At 32.7% G+C, this 17,952-nt stretch overlaps 1 protein-coding gene across 2 annotated transcripts in view; it reads left to right on the top strand.

The window, feature by feature from the left end:
• The window catches only part of GABRG1 (gamma-aminobutyric acid type A receptor subunit gamma1), an 88,286-nt gene extending 76,994 nt beyond the window's left edge, over nucleotides 1-11,292 (top strand). For both annotated transcript variants that reach the window (NM_173536.4, XM_017007990.2), the window contains one exon: nucleotides 5,807-11,292. In NM_173536.4, coding sequence (NP_775807.2) covers nucleotides 5,807-6,073 — 267 coding nt within the window. In that variant the 3' untranslated portion in view covers nucleotides 6,074-11,292. The remainder of the gene's footprint in view (nucleotides 1-5,806) is intronic.

Genomic DNA, 17,952 nt, shown 5'->3' with positions numbered 1-17,952 from the left:
CAGAAAGTGCTATTGGGTAATGTTTATCTTGAAAGTAGGAAAGAAACATTTTCTCTTAGGAAAGAAAATAACCTATGTTGAGGATAGAAGAGTGGTTTATGGCCAGGTTGTGCAAAATCTTTAAAGTCATGCTAAGAATTTACATTTTGTCTTGTTAGCGCAGGCAAGTTATACACGTTTTTAAGCAGGATGGTATATTTCTATGTATGTTTTCAGAAGATAATTAGAAATAGTATACAGTATATACTTGGATGGCAAAAGAGGCAGGGAGATAAATTTGGAGACTATTGCAGTTGTTCCAGAAGTAATATAATACTAAAAGCTGAAACCAAGATATTAGGATGAAAATAATGCATTAGCAAGTTTTTGGGTCCCCCCTGGCACCGCCTCACCCCACAGTCCTCACCCACAGCTCCTTTTCAGCAAAGAGATTTTCATTTCAGTCAGTGCATGCCTATTGAATAAACATTTGTCTACCTCTCAGAGTACTAAAATAATGAAAAGCTGTATCAATCCACAGTTTCACAACTTATAGATTCTTTCTTATAATAGTATTTGGCAAAGCTCCCAGGAAGGATTATGTGATATTGGTGAAATGTGAAATACAGCAAGAAGGTTACTTAAACAATTGTAAAGAGTCAGTGCATGGTGGAATGTTTTCAATAGATAGAGTAACCAGTTAGTACCAGTTGTGACAATGGCCATATGATGCTTCCCTGGAGTGTATAGATACCACCACCAACAGCTCTTTTTTCTACCTTGGCTACCAAAGAACACTGCTTAATATTTATATTTCTATTTAAAACATCATAGACTATCACAGCAGAAAGGGACCAGATTAATCATTGAGTAAAATTCCCATTTAAAAAAATTAATTTTAACAGTAATAGTGGAGCATGGTTGAAACTAATAAACAAATAGAACAATTCATAAATAAACAAATAGAACAATTCATAAATGTACAAATAAAGAAAATTCTCTACCTAGAACATTTTGTCCAAAATCTCAGAATCAACTACATTGTAACCATTTCTGATTTTACATTCTTGTAATTATTATTTTCATTGTATTTCTGATTCTTACTGTACCAAATTTCCAGGTATCTATAACTCTTTGGTACAAAAGAAAAAATAGCTCTTCTGTTGTATCTTTCTTATTCTCTTTCTCAGTATTTTAACTTACTATTAATAGTTATTGACCTGGTGTATTGGCTCACTCCTGTAATTCCAGCACTTTGGGAGGCCAAGGTGGGCAGATCACGGGGTCAGGAGATTGAGTCCATCCTGGCCAACATGGTGAAACCCGTCTCTACAAAAATACAAAAAATTAGTCAGGCACTTGGTTAATTTTAAAACTTTAAATAATATATTTAAATCTCTACTTCTGAATTCATTATTGTGATTAATTCTAGTGCCAATTTTATTATCATTCTTTGCAGATAAAACTTTTTTTCTTTTCTTAAGAAACTTTCCATCATCTTGTTTTTTTACAGTGAAAAAAAAATCTTAAGGAGTCGTACATTTTCTGTGTTTTGTCCTCTTTCATTTCCTCATTACTTAATATTCTTATGTTTTATTTTTGAGAATGTTATCAATTGTTCATTCCAATTAATTTCTATTTTCTCCTTGGAAACTACTGGTAGTTAGATTTTTGACTTCTTAGGTTCAGCATATATTCCAGATTTTCCTTTTATCATATTTTAAGCCATTTTTCCATACTATGAGCAGTTTTTTCAAGATTTCATTTTAACACTTTTAGCTTATTAAAAATTTACAATAACTTTATGAATTTCAGAGAGGTCTTATTTTCTAACTGTTCTTTGTTCATTTTTCCTTAAGTGGATGTATTACTTCCTCAAGTATTTCTGAGTGGACTAACTAGATTTATTTTCTCATATTTCCTAAAATATTAGAATCAGTAATTCCAGCTGTTCATTTTCACTTTTCTCCTTTGTATTGTTCACTTACCTCAAAACTTCTTCATGATTGTTCCCCAAATAGGCCCGGTAAGTTTCGTATGTAACTGTCAAGTTTGCAACCATCGGATTTTACTTTCATACGTGTGTTTGCGTGGCATGACATCTGATTCCTTCCAAATATACACATATACATTCTAAATGATAGGATGATGGCACAATACTAGGACATTCCAGTTCCAACATCAAGAGCCCTAACCTTTCTCCTAGGATAGTGAAAGTTTCTTCTCATTTTTTAGAAGTTATAGAGTTTAGAGATGAGTGAATGCCAACCGTCGTCATCTTTACTCTCTACATGCACAGTAGGTGAACCATAGTTCAAAGGAGTGCAGCTGATCTGGAGGTGGACATTTAGCTAACACCATGTTTTCCATTCTATTCATTACTCCCATTCTTCCTTCCTTATACTGAGTGGAAGAGTAGATTCCACAGTCATGTTTCCATTTACTGAGCCTTTCTGAGATGTGTCTTCTTTTGGTCTGCTTTATCCATTGGCCTATTTCCATCTGTTTTTTGTACTTCAGAAATTGATCAGAAATTCTAAATGCTGATTGGCAGCTCCTCGTCACCAAGATTCACCTCCTGGAATTTGTTTTCTGTTTTTTAAGACAAAGTTTCACTCCATCACCCAGGCTGGAATGCAGTAGTGCAATCACAGCTCACTGCAGCCTCAACCTCCTGAGATCAAGCCATCCTCCCACCTCAGCCTCCCAAATAGCTGGGATTGCAAACACATGCAACTACACCCAGATAAATTTCTTTTGTTTCCTCTTTTTGTGGATACAGGGTTTTGCCATGTTGCCCAGGCTGGTCTCAAACTCCTGGGCTCAAGAAATCTGCCCACCTTGGCCTCCCAAAGTGCTGGGATTACAGGTGTGAGCCAACGTGCCCAGCCTTCTCCTGTTGATTTTTTAATGTTGATGGTATAATCTACAATTTTTGAACATCCCAACTTAAACAGGATTTTGTGAAGGAGTGGTAAACAGTGCTTAGTTTGGCATTTTCTCATGCAATATTTTAAATGGGAAATTAATATTATATAGTCAGTATTTCATAATAATATAATCATCAAATAATATTTACCATTCATATTACTAATATTTAATAATTTTAGCAGATGGTATAATAATTATCAGATGGTATAAGTAATAACTATATGTAAATACTGATTTATTTATCACTTCCCATTTATTTGATATTAGTATATTTTGGTGCTTAAAATATATTTTATTAGTATATAACTAGACAGAGATATATCCTTAATAGTGAAAATTTGATGAATTTCTCAAAATAGTGAGCTCAGCTATATTCTTAGTAATTTTTGAAATTTTTTAAAAGTGTATTTTAAAAACGATTTTATTTAAGGTAGAATATTCTATTCAATTATGTTGCTACTTTTTAAATTGCTTTAACTGATTTGTTTTTTAATGTTTGCTTTTTTGGGGAAGGCAGGGTCTATTCTTGAGAAACTAAAAGATGGGTAGCATAGCTGCACTTCAGATAAATAAGACTTGGAATGTATACATTTTTCTGATTAATTTCTCAGTGGTTTAAAGGTCAGAAATCTGTGTTTCATCAATATTTTATTTTATTGACATTGTGTTAGATTTTTGGCTATTTTTCTCAGCATTTATATGTCCATTTCTGTTTACTTTCATTGTTCACTGATGTGTAGTTTCTTTCAATTCATGAACTTGAGTTTTGAGGGGATGGGGTGGAGGGAGCAAAAATCTAGACAACTGCCAATTTAAAATGTATTTCCCATAGAACTCTCCATGATACTCTCACCAGAGAGTTCATTTTTTAAATAAACCCCTTGCAGTTTTTGTTCATTTTAGTGCACTAAAAAATTTAATCATTTCTCTCATGAACAACTAATATCCTCTGAAAAACACACCATATTTCCATTTATGATAATGCCGTTTCATATATGGAATGTGTTTTCTACCACATAATCTTAAAATTGCCTCCTAACAATTTTTTAAAATTAATTTTCATTCTGATTAGCATAAGAGCATATGCTATTCAAGTATCAAGTGACAAGGAAATAGGTACCAATTCGTCTCTCTCTTTTTTTTTACATGATTTTAGTGCTCCATTAAAATTTAGGAATGTAATCAACTATCCCCAGTTCCATCCTCAAAAGATCTGTCATTAACATTTAATAAGATACTGCCTCTGCTTTTTGTGATATAGCTAAGCAAGTTTAATCATGAACTTACTTGTGTTTGGGGCATTTCTCCTTATCCTCAAGGTGCACATTTGTCTCTAATATGAATATTGTGACCTGCATGATGCTTTAATCTTTTAAAAATATCACTAAATGTGAATATTTGCTTCCTTTTGCATCTACTGGATTTTTAATATTTGGTGACTTGGAATCTATGTTTCTTTTTAGAACTAAAATGGACATGAATATAGTTAAAGTTGTAAGAAATTTTAAACTTTTGTATACATTTGTAAAAATGTTTTTCATAAAATATTTAATTTTGTTGACCTATTTCAAAATTTAGCATGAAAACATTTAACAAACATTTGCATGGGAAAAGATGTAAGAGCTGGTTAAAACAATTTTTATAAAATTGGCGCTATATTTAATGTTTAGAGAGTGAAATTGCTGAATACAATAAGTTGTAAGATTCACATCTTGAGATAACCCTCAAAATATGTTGAATTCTGAAAAACGAAGAATTGCTAAAGTTGAAATACTCATCTTTTACTTGCCAGCTTATTAAAGGAGTCATTAACTTTTTTCCAGTAACATTTTTATGTGGTCTAGGACTTTGTTGTTGTTGCTATTATTATTGTTTGTATGTTTATCTTAGCATGAATTTTATAATCAATTGTGATATAGGCCTCATCAGGAATAAACAGTAACAATGACAACAATAATGATGTTACCTACTGGCAGGTGATTACTTGCTATGTTTCAAGTATTTTGCTTAGTGTTTTATATCCATCATCCCATTTAATAATCAAGCAAACCTACAATGTTTTTATTGCCATTTTTGTACAGAAGAAAACATAGAAGCCAAAGAATAATACTTTCACTTTTTAATTATTTAAGTATTATTCAAAATCAAGTATTATAAAAACTTAATTTAACATGTTACAAATAAAGCTGTTAATAATAGTAGCTATTATTACTGAGCATGATGGAGCATTGATCATTTTACATAAGCCATTGAAATTTACTTATCATAGCTATCACAGAAATTAGGTGCAAGTATAATTCCAGCTATGAAGACAGATACATTGGTAGAATGAGCAGAATTTGAACACCAATTGTTCCCAAGTCTGAGCTTTTAATTCCTACACATCCTCTTTCCCAAATATGGTGCCTTGTGCTTACCCATCACAAACCCCATAACTTTTTTTGTCAATTCATATCTTCACAAACCTTTTGCATTATCAAAATGTCTTCTTTGCTATTTATTCTCATTTTTATTAAAGTCGATAAATAATATATAATAGCAAAAAAAGATGTGTATAGCACTGTTAATGTTTTAATATAAAATAGAATATACAGTTCATTTTATTTTAGAATTAGATCCATGGTAAATGATATTTTGGTGAGTCAACTTTCTAAATGTATAAAAATATATTTTATTTTTCAGGGGTATTTCATTTCTGCTTAATAGAATGTAACAAATGTTCTATTACAAAGCAAATTATAATATAAAACATGTTATAATTGAAAATACTTGATTTTTTGAAATCAAGATTATTTTCATTACCTGTCAGTCTCCTAGAGTTTGCGTTAAAGGAGCAAATTGATCTTTCCTTATGCTACTTTTTTGATGTCAAAAATTCATTTATTATTGTGCTCAGATGACTCCTGGTCTCCATCCTGGATCCACTCTGATTCCAATGAATAATATTTCTGTGCCGCAAGAAGATGATTATGGGTATCAGTGTTTGGAGGGCAAAGATTGTGCCAGCTTCTTCTGTTGCTTTGAAGACTGCAGAACAGGATCTTGGAGGGAAGGAAGGATACACATACGCATTGCCAAAATTGACTCTTATTCTAGAATATTTTTCCCAACCGCTTTTGCCCTGTTCAACTTGGTTTATTGGGTTGGCTATCTTTACTTATAAAATCTACTTCATAAGCAAAAATCAAAAGAAGTCTGACTAAATTCAGTAGAATCTTTTGTGCTTCAGTAACTTGAAGTTTAAATTTAAAATGCAGAGAGACCAATGGTTAAAATGTGAATAGTATTGTAACTATTTTAAGGCCTTCAGAAGTAAATAAAGTAGCAGCTTTCAGGCTAATTTACGTGAAACTGATTAGTTGCAAAATCCAGTAGGTTAAAATACTCACATATTTTTACTTAAATTTTCTTTAATTTACTTATATGTTATTATAATTTTGAATTTTTAAGTTCTATGATTCATGTTTTAAAGATGGAATAATTTTAATACATATTTTGTTTAAATATAATCTATAATTGTTTTGTAATGTAAGACTAATTACTAATATTTATGTAGCAACTTTTGTGCCAGAAAAAAGACTGTTAATTTGTTTTTTCTTGCTTTTCATTTGATTACCCTGCTTGAAATACAGTTAGTTGATAACATAAAGCCATAGTTTTCTTGGATTTTCTTCCAAGATATTGTATTCCCAAGAAGAAATTGATTTATTTTTAAACTATCAGTTACTGAAGACTTATGAAAAGGTCAATTTTTACCTGTCTTTTAATCCAGTCCATTTTCTGACACAATATTAAACAGAACGCCAGTTGCATTTACTTTGGTGATTTGCAAACTTGGAATGAAGCCACCAGTCATTTTTTAAGAATGCAAGATGAAAAAATCAGGTAAAATCTAACCATTTTATTCTCTGCTTCATAGCATTTATAATGTATGATGAGGTTAACACTGAAATATTAAAATCTGCAAATGCACATTAATGCAAATTAAATGCAGAGAGAAATGATTATTTTTTTCTTTATGTTTTATGAAAGTGTTGCAGTCCCTAAAATAAAAATATTGAGGAACATTGCTTGTATTTACTCACGTGGTTAAAAAATTATTACCTGGCAAACTGAGTTGCCGGTCATATTGAGGACAAAATCTTAAATATGTGCTATTAGCATTGTTTTTAGACTAGTAATATGCAGAAAACAGTTTTAGGCCTGCGTTACATATTGCCTCTTCCAGCTCCAAAGTTTTGGACCCTGTCAGTTTTGCAACTACATTATACATTATTATAATATTCTTTTTTTTTTCTAGAAACTGGGGGCAGCCTCAAAATCATGTTAAAGAGGGAGTTTTGTTAGAGGCATCTTTAATGAACATGAATGTGAGTGCTCTCTAAATTCTTAGCATCTCACTGGATGTAAAATCTATCAGTTAATAGTTTTAAAAATGTCTCTTTTGTTAAGAATAAATTTAGGCTTCAATCATTATAATCCTGTAAGTAGCTTGACATACCAATTGTTTATAAGATTCATCACATAAATTTCTGGAGAACCACCAGGTTTAGCTTGGAAATAACCTTTAAAGATTGTTTCTGTTGCCAAGACCAATGACCATGATGAAGAGTTTTATGATCACAGCCTATCTTACTTAAGGTTTGAGAGGAAACCTGTCACCTCTGCAATTGTTACTCTAGTTTTTAATGTTATAATTCCGCTGCGTGGTTAGTGAATGTCTGGCATGATTATACACGTGTATTGGAAATATCTAGTTTTTTAAATTTTTAATTAATTTATTTATAATTTACTGTGTGTTCCCAGCTAACTCTATTTTTTTTTTCACTTGCTCATAAACTTCTGGAAAAAAATAAGCATGAATCAAATGGTAATGCCCAATATCCACCGACACTGCTTTTCTTGAATGAACAGCCAAACTAAACTTTGGCCATCTATATATTCATTTACAGATTATTCATACATTCATTTTAATAACATTGAGTACTGATGGATGTTTTGAAAGTGAGCATTCATTTAAGGATAAATAAAAAATAAAGTAGTAATAAAGAATAAAATACTTTACTAAAATATTGTATGGCTATTTTCATGTTTGAAGCTATAGCTTACTATCATGAGACAGTTTTGATTTTGGGACTCTTTCAAGTGTATCTGAGCATGACTGTATTTTAAAATACTTAAAAGTGCTTGATATAAATAGCTTTTCCTTCTGAACCACGTTCTATGTAAAAGAAAAAAAATAGCTTTGATTTTCTCACTGGTGTTTCATTAACTTGGTTTTAAATGTTGACAATATTTACAAGTGGAAATAAAATTTGTAAATATATGAAAGATGCCTTTCCTTGTATATACCATCAAGCAAGCACTTTGTTTTCAAAGCAAGTGGTATTTTGATCAGTTTTATTTAAATGTGTGATCAGAAAGAATGGCGTACAAATCTTATTATTTCTAAAAATAAGAATAAAAAGGTAAAACTACATTTAGACTTCTTTCTCAAGAAATCAAATACAGCTTTTTTTCAAAGCTGATTCAGTTCATTTCCTGTTCCTCTATTCCAAGTATAAGTTTCACCACCTTGAGAAATAATTTTTTTAAAAAATCTTCCTCTTTCTCTGGGGAGTTATATAATAATTTATTGAATTTATTGGAACTTGATTTTCCTGGATGCTTTCAATGTTTTTAATGCTAACATAGACCCCAAAATTAGATATAAAGAATTGGGAAGGATACCTGGAGCACAAGGAATAAGATCATTTGTAAAAATGTTTGTTTATATAGACCTATCCTCTAAATATGTGACAAGGATCTAGAAATTCTGAGAGGGGAAAATGTGATTTTGGATTTACAATGACAGGGTAATATTTTATTTATCTTCGAATTCCATGGACAAAATTAGGCTCACTTAAATTAATTTTTGTAAACCCAAGTAAGTTCTAAAAAAAAGTAAAAAATACATAGAATACTTGAGAATTTAGCAGGGACAGGGAAAAATTTCCCAGTAAGTCTGAAGTCTTGATGTAAGTGGGAATTAGATAACTAATTGGAGGCATTTTATTTTAAGTTAAAGACAGATTTCTTTAATAAGTTTTTAAAATTGATCAACTTTAAATTAAGCACAGTAAATGTGTATAAATATGAAGGCAATCATAAGGATTTTTTCACTTGTGTTTCCATATTCTGGCATTAGTATATCATCATAAAATAGACAATGTTTTTGTCTCAAGAACAAGAATAAAATTGAAATCTGCATTCATGCCAATTCAGCATAAAAAAGAATAGGCTACAGTTCTCTCACACCAAGGGCCCCATAGTTATAAATGTGAAATTATATTCCAGGTCAAAATTTGTGAAAAATACACAAAACACTTTGATTTTACAAGAGAGGAGCTTTAAATAAGATGATTTTAGTAGATTGAAATAAATAACCAGTATTTAAGTAAATGTATAACGAATGAATAAATACATGCATAATATTTTCAAAGTTCTATACCAGTACCTATTTTTACTCTTACAAAATTTCCTGTAAAAAAATACTACATTTGAAATTATTTCATTGGTTTTAGAACTGGCATTGAAGGTACCCAGTAGACTCTTAAGCCTTTACTGCTTGTCTCACTAGAAACATTTATTTCTGACCTACCAAGTTTTCTTCACATCATCAAATTTATTCAGCTTCTCAGTGCTGTACCGTATGATGGCAAGACATACTTGGTATTTCCATTTTTGTTGGTCATTCTTTATTGCTTTTTACTGCTAGGAAGGTCTTGCCAGGCTTCTATACAGTTACAAAAACCATTACCAAACTTTATCAAGGACTTTCCAAATGGAGTTTTCAAATACTATTGACCACATTGCTCTAGTTAATGTAAGGTCAGCTCTGACTTTTTGTGTTTGCATTTCGGAAGTGAGGTAACCTCATTCAAATATATATGCAGCACTTTCTGTGTACAAAGTACTGTTCTAAATACAAAAGGGAATATAAAGATGACTTTCAAGGAACATATAATGTAGTCAGAAAGATGAGAGGATTAGTTATACAATTTAAGGAAGGGAGGATAACTTTGGGAAGGTTTTGTGGAGGATATGTGTTTAGAGATGCGAGCTGGGGATTCAACAGGTAAGAGGGAGAGAGATCACAATTTCCAACTGGGTAAACAGCTTGAAAAAAGAAACAGAAGCCTGGGCACAAATGAAAATTCCATATTAATTGGAAGTTAAGATTCATATAGAGACAATGAAAGGTTAGGTTAGAACAATAAACTGAGAAGTACGAATGTGGACTTCAGGAGGCTAGGGGAAATTACGAAGTCATAAAAAGTTCACAGAGATACTTGAGTACAAAAGATACATTATTAAAATTTCTGCAGAAGTTTCATCTTATTTGTGTGTGATGGTTTGGAATATAACAAGCCAGTTAGGCGTATAAGCTTATAGTGGCTAATATGAGGATGAAATCCGTACTCTTGTGACACAAGTCTTCAGCGGAGATGGGGGATGATAGGCCCAAATAGAAAGAAAAGTGGCAGACATTAAGCTTTGACTAACAGACAACATAACTGAGAGACATGGTGTGTTGGGTGGAAGGGATCCTGTAGTAGATACTTGCTTGCATGTAGATGGGTACAAAGACACCATAAGGAAATTCTGAATGTAATACAAAGGCTTATTTTTCCTGTTGATTTATCTTTTTCACACATAAAAGATGAAGAAAAAAATAATCTGAAATGTAAATCCTAAAGTGATCTGTCTAGATTCTTATTTTTTGAAAAATGTTCCTCACTAAAAGAGTTTTCTATTCAAATAACCATTTCCAGTTTTCTAACTGAGACATACATACATATATATATGTATAAAATTATATATATATTTGGACAAAGAGAATAAGAGAATTGCAGGTAGAAATAGTCTACTGTGTGTAGACAAATCCAGAAAGTTGATTTCTGTTCCTCAAACAATTTCTGAAATATTTATGTCAGAATAAATAAAAGAATTGTTATTGTTGGACAATGAAACATACCTGGACCCTTTGAGTGTGTGAATAGTAAAGGCTGTGATAACTGAAATGCAGCTAAGCAAAAAGGGCTAATTAGAAGACTTTTGAGACATGATTTACCTAAATGGAAATAGTTTGGTTTTCAATCCTTCACTGTAATAACAATTATTTGCATCTATTAAGTGTTTGTAGTCACTTTGTATAATAAAGTTTTATGGCTTGTGATTATAATGGCTTCTGTTATTCTGCTACTGCCTCATTGTTTTGAGGAACATTTGTAATTTTGTGGCAAAGGTGTCTCAATTTTTCAGTGTTCTTTACTCTCATGATCCTTAGAACAAAAAAAATACCAGTAACTTGTTATAAATAAAGAGTCACATTCTCTTAAATTGTGTCTTTCTTGATAGTTTTCATACAGCTATATCCCTTCACTGTTTCAGAGTATGTGATCATAGCTTCAGTATTGAAGTTCACTTCTGATCCTTGTAATTTCACATTAGTTTTTCAATTAAGAGCCTTAAAAAGTTTCTTCTTGACTGAGACTTTTGAAAAGGAGTTTAACTTGAAAAGCTTAGGTAAAGATAATTGAAGCTTATGCATGATTTTCACTGCTCTATGAATGTCTGGATTATTCTAACTATTTGTGATTTTACCCTGTTTGAACGGCCAGGTATTCTTCAGTAGGTGTGCCAGTGAGAGCAATATATATTGGTCAGGATGAATATCTAGACCATTCCAACTATCCCATGTTATGAAAAACTCTATTCCACTTGAAGGAACAGTTACTGAAGGAAAATTAAAAGTCAGAATATCAAGAGATAAGGTATTATCTGCTTCATTCTCCTAGTTCTCCCTTCCCTGTTGCCACAGTACAATATTTTTTAAAACTTTGTGATTCTTCTCTCAGGTCCAAATAACAGATATGCTATTTTCATAAAGCTGAAGAAGGCAGGGGATGACTGCTGTTTCTGGAGTACCTGCTATGTGTCTAGAACTACAAATGCATTATATATTAATAACAGTTTTCAAAGCAGAGAACACTATTTAACAGGTGAAAAGACCAAAGCTCAGTATAGTAGACACATTCTCCAAGTTCATATACCTGTAACCTAAAATTAAATTTAGGTACCTGTATCTGTAAAGACCTTCTCTTTCATTTACATGGAAGGACTCTGATGGTAGAGTGACTGCACTTATTCCAACACTAGAACATCTTTCCTTCACAAAAGAGAAGCAAAGACCTGAAAAACAGCCCACTCCATTTGCCTAAAGCATGAAAACACTATATTATTTAGTAACAGCATAATAGCATGCTCTTTTCATCCTTTATTTCTAAAGTGGATTTCATTTCAGCTGGAACATTTTAAACATGTACTAGGTATGTTTGTAAAAATTACTCCTGATATTCACTCAAAATATAGAGAACTCACTTTTTAAGAAAGATATTGGCAAACTATGGCCATAGCAGTGACTAATAGGATACAATCACCTTGTTCATTCGCTATTGTCTATGGCTGCTTTTTCGCTATTGCAACAGAGCTGAGTAGTTTCAAAAGAAATTAAATGGCCCATAAAGCCTAAATATTTACTCATTGTCACTTTACAGAAAAAAGTTTGCCAACTATTGTTTTAGAAAAATTTTACTACTAATTAGAAAGCACCAGATATTTAAAGTGCTTTTTTAATTCTTTTAATTTTTAACTTTAAAAGGAAAAGATCTGCGTTGAAGGTGTGAAGTAATGCAATTAATTGCTCTCCACTGTACTTCATCCTCTTAGCTTCTCTCAAAGCGACATTAATTAAAACTATGCCCTCTTTTTTAAGATCTGTAAAAAATTATTATAAATCTGTTTCATTAATGAAAATACATGCTTCTTCATAATTATTTCAATATTATTTGAAGTAGATAAAGTAGGTTAATCTAGAGAGAAAGTTGTTGTCACCACTAAAATTGACACAAGATGCTTTAAGTAAAAGAAAAGTGAGAAATACAAATATTAAAGTAATTTTAGTGTTTTCCCTCTTGAGGCAGCATAAGGTATGTTTTCCCATTAAGATTGTTTGTGTCAATATGAAATCTTGCTTTTAACAATATATTTTTGCAGCACTAAAACCCAAGCAGCCCTTTATGAATAATTTAGTAATTTCATCAGAATATTTAATTCACTTTGTACATTACTCATAGTCTTTCCTTTTGCATTTCAGTATGTGCATTTCAATGATTAAAATTTATATTTAAAATAGTCATAAAGAGTAGTTTGTTAAACAATTGTATACTCTGAATAAAATAGGAGAGCTCCTTCAAGTTAACACCATAGAGTAGGGAAGTTTAGACATGCATACTCTATGTTTACCTTAAATAAAATATCTGAATATTGATTCAAGTCACTACTAAAATTTTCTTACATTCATACTGATAATTTGATTTTTAGTATTTAATTCTCTTTACTTTTTGCATTCAAATACTTTGGCTAAAATCTCAATTATTACCTAGTCTATCATTTTTTAAAATTACTATCATAATAAAAAAGATTTGAAACTTTGAAGATCTCTGTTTGTATTAACATTAATAACTAATATTAGCATATTGTTTTACTGTACACACGTTTTCATATTAGTGATATCAGCTGGCCACTATCAAAGTCTGTGGAATATGAGGCACAAATATTAAGCCCTCCACTTGACAAAGAAGAAACTAATGAGCCAGGGAGCTTGGCTGACCTATACCATATTATGCACAGCAAGCTCAAGGCTTTTGCTTATATGTTCTGTGTTTACAAGGCAAACCCCAGGTTTTAAGGCATATTATAAAAGAATTCAAATGATTTATACCACATACATAATCTCTCCCATCTTCCCTGACTTTGTCTCTTTAAGGATGAGTAAGGAAGGTATGAAAATTTGTTTTCATCCCAAGATGTTTTTTATGTGTTTTTTAGTAATGATCTCAGAAGAAGAATCAGATGTTCAAATCATGTAATTTGCAGAGGTTTTAATGAAAGGACACTTAACAAAAGTATGGGAAAGAGTTAGAGTTAGGATATACCCCTAGGCTCTTCCAGAATCCTGAAACAAATTACAAAAGGAGGAGGTGGAGATAAAGGACCAAGGGGAGGGAGTAGTTGTAAAAAGCTGTAAAACGCTGTGTGGCCAACATGGTGAAAATTCGTTTCTACAAAATACACACACACATGCACACAAATTAGCCGAGGGCGTGGTGGTGCACACCTGTGGTCCCAGCTACTCTGGAGGCTTACTCAGGAGAATCACTTGAGCCTAGGAGGCAGAGATTGCAGTGAGCCTAGATCGTGCCGCTGCACCACTACACTCTAGCCGTGTAGCCGGGGCCAGGGAGAGTTAAGTCTCAGGGGGAAAAAACAAACAAACAAACAAACAAACAAAAAAACTCTGTGTGCAAAAGAACATCTGACATGAAGTGTGGCCTTCATCAGTTAAGGATATAGGCAGCTGTGACAACGCTGCTGGAGGGAACCTGTGGAACAAATATTCCAGTGGCATGACTTTCTCCTCCCTCTTCTCTTCTGCTAGGCCTCCCAACTGGAACAACCTAAGCAGAGGCCAGATGGCAAGGGGGCCATTGATCTAAGCCATACATCTCTTTTCTGGGACACAGTGCAGAGGGCAGAAGGGTGGAGGGAAGATTTGGAAGGGAAAATGGAAATACTTAGAGTATGTCAGGATATTAATAGGATTCAGAACAGATTAAAGTTAGTGCACTTTATGGTCACATATATTCTTTCTTCCTACATGAAAAACAGGAGCTAGAGGCACCCCTAGCAAATCTCAATTCTCAGCCTCATGTTACAGGGTCCAATAGCCATGGCTTAGCCAGGATGCCTTGGCAAGCTTGACCAGTGCATCTAAGAAGATTGTTCTTTTTCCCTCTGGCTCTGTATTTTCGGATACTGGCAAATAAAATTTTTGGCACATTGGTGTAGTAAATTTTGAGACATATGTTTGTTGTAAGAGCCAAAATCTAATTTACTAGATTTCTTAAATTTACATGTGTTGCCAAAAGTTCTGTTAGCCAAAAATATATATTTTGGTCTACACTACATACCTTTCTTGGACAATTTGTAGGAGGGGGAAAAAAAAAAAAAAAACCTGGACCACCACAAGGTCGTGGTCTTCCTGGCTGTTCCTTTCCTGCTAGGAGTATAACAATAAAAATGCCATAGTTACTGGCTAAATAGTTTAGAATCAAATGAAAAAAACAAATAATAACCAGAAAATTATGAACAATCTGATATGAGCTATGTAGAGGAACTAAATTGAGGCCCAAATAGGTGAAAAAAATCCAGGCTTAACTGTTCAGAAGCTAATCTGAGATGTAAAAGATTATTAGGAGTAAGTCATTTAAGTGATGGTATGGTAGGAAGCAAGATAATATTCTAGAGTATGAGTATAAAAAGTGATTATTTTAATTTTAATCCTCCTTTATCCTCTTTCTTCAGAGTCTCAAAGGCAGTATTCCTTATTTTTGAATGTCTAATTGGGCATTCTGTAGTATTTTATCCAAAAAACTCCTTTAAAAATGAATTCTCCCTAGAACTCTAACTATATGAGTTCATTATTGTCTTCAGTTCTTGACAGTATCTATCACCCATGATCACTACCCACCCTCCCAGACTTTCTAAACACCTCTTAGCCAATAATTCACCAAGGAGTGCTTGGGAGACCACCCACATTATATTTAGGCACTAATTTAAATGAATATGAATTTATTGCCACACTGTGAGTTTCCCCTCTATATAAAAGGAAGTCTTATTGGAAGCAACCAATTTCACTTGAAATTGTAACAACTGTTTTAAATTGTATTGCTTATCTTGCAGCTGGTTTTATGTGTATAGATACTGGATCAAACACTGTAGGCAGATTATTTCTTGAAAGGTTGGCTTTTGTTGGCACCAGTATTTTCACTTCGATGAATAGTCGTGTGATCTATCGTAGGACTAAATACAGTAGAATCATTTTTAATTTTTTCTGGTGTCTTGACACTAAAATAGAAACGTTGATGCATTTCATAAAATAGTTTATGGAAAGTTCTAGAATTACTAAGATGACCACGCACTTCAGTATAAATTTAATACAACTCATTTCTCACTTTGGTGCGTATTTATTCAATTTTTCCTACGGAGGCATCGGCACACAGACACTAAAGTGAGAGAAGAATCATTAATTTTTATAGAGTAAAATATTATGTATTGAATTTTTACTATGTGCACAAAATTATTTACAAAAATATAATTGGGCATGTACCAAAGTGTATTGATAATATCGACTGGCCCTGCAATTGAACTTTTACCTACCACACAAGCACATCTTAGTTTAAATCTAATCTGACCACTTTTAACAAATAAGTGTAATACATGAAATTAAAATGGGAATAGGAGTCATGTTAGACACGTTTTTCTATGAGGACTTATGTGAGGGAATGGCTTTTGGGAATAAAGAATGAGAACATAAAAATTAATATGACAATAAGAAAACATAATCATAGCCAGTGCTGAATAAATATTGGCAGTGCCCTAAGAGCTATATTTATAATAACCAGTTTCATCCTTACAACATCGCTAAGAAATAGCTACTATTATTATTTTCACAGGAGAAATCTGAGCCACAGAGTGGCTGACTACACCTGCCCAAGGACACAGAGATAGCGATGTAGTGGTTGGCGTGCCTGCCAAGGACACAGAGATAGCGATTGCAGTGGTACAACTGGGTTTAAACCCAGGCATGCCAGACTGAGCCTATTCTTATGAGCACTCTACCAGATTGCCTGTCTATGAATCCAGGCCCCACGTACCCAGACTAAACCCTAAAGCATTATTATGAACGTATTTTGTTGTGGTCACTAACATTGGAGTACAGAGTGAGCAGCATACACATGTCCAGTATAAGACTGAAAACAGAATATTTAATTAAGGTTCTGAAAAATTGGAGAAACAACATTGTTTACTTTAATCCATATAACTGGAAAATCAAGGCCACATGTTAAATGTCCAGACACAAGATTGAAGAGATGAATGGGGGACAAACAGGCAATCACTAAACTGGGTCTACAAATTTATTTATTCATTTATTTTTCCATAAGTTATTGGGTACAGGTGGTATTTGGTTACATGGGTATGTTCTTTAGTGGTGAGTTGTGAGATTTTGATGCACCCATTATCCGAGCAGTATACACTGCACCATATTTGTAGTCTTTTATCCCTCGCCTGCCTCCTGCTCTTACCCCCAAGTCCCCAAAGTCCATTGTATCATTCTTATGCCTTTGCATCCCCATAGCTTAGCCCCCACATATCAGTGAGAACATATGATGTTTGGTTTTCTATTCCTGAGACACTTCACATAGAATAATAGTCTCCAGTCTTATTCAGGTCACTGCAAATGCTGTTAATTCATTCCTCTTTATGGCTGAGTAGTAGTCCATCATATATATATATATATATATATATATATATATATATATATATATATATATATATATATATGTCTCACAGGCTTTTTACCACTTGCTGATTGATGGGCATTTGGGTTGGTTCCACAATTTTGCAATTGTGCATTGTGCTGCTATAAACGTGCATGTGCAAGTATCCTTTTCAAATAATTACTTCTTTTCCTCTGGGTAGATAACCAGTAATGGGATTGCTGGATCAAATGGTAGTTCTCCTTTTAGTTATTCAAGGAATCTCCACACTGTTTTCTATAGTGGCTGTACTAGTTTACATTCCCACCAGCAGTGTAGAAGTGTTCCCTGTTCACCACATCCATGCCAACATCTACGGTTTGGTGATTTTTTTTTATTATGGCCATTCTTGTAGGAGTCAAATGGTATTGCATTGTGGTTTTGATTTGCATTTCCCTGATCATTGGTGATGTTGCATATTTTTTCATTTTTTTTTTGGCCATTTGTTTATCTTATTTTGAGAATTGTCTATATTCATGTCGTTAGCCCACTTTTTTGGAATTGTTTCATTTTTTTCTTACTGATTTGTTTGAATTCATTGTAAATTCTGGATATTAGT

Source organism: Homo sapiens, chromosome 4, assembly GCF_000001405.40.
Source record: "Homo sapiens chromosome 4, GRCh38.p14 Primary Assembly".
Taxonomy (NCBI): domain Eukaryota; kingdom Metazoa; phylum Chordata; class Mammalia; order Primates; family Hominidae; genus Homo; species Homo sapiens.
Note: the sequence above shows the minus strand (reverse complement) of the source record. Positions and strands in the feature narration are given on the sequence as shown.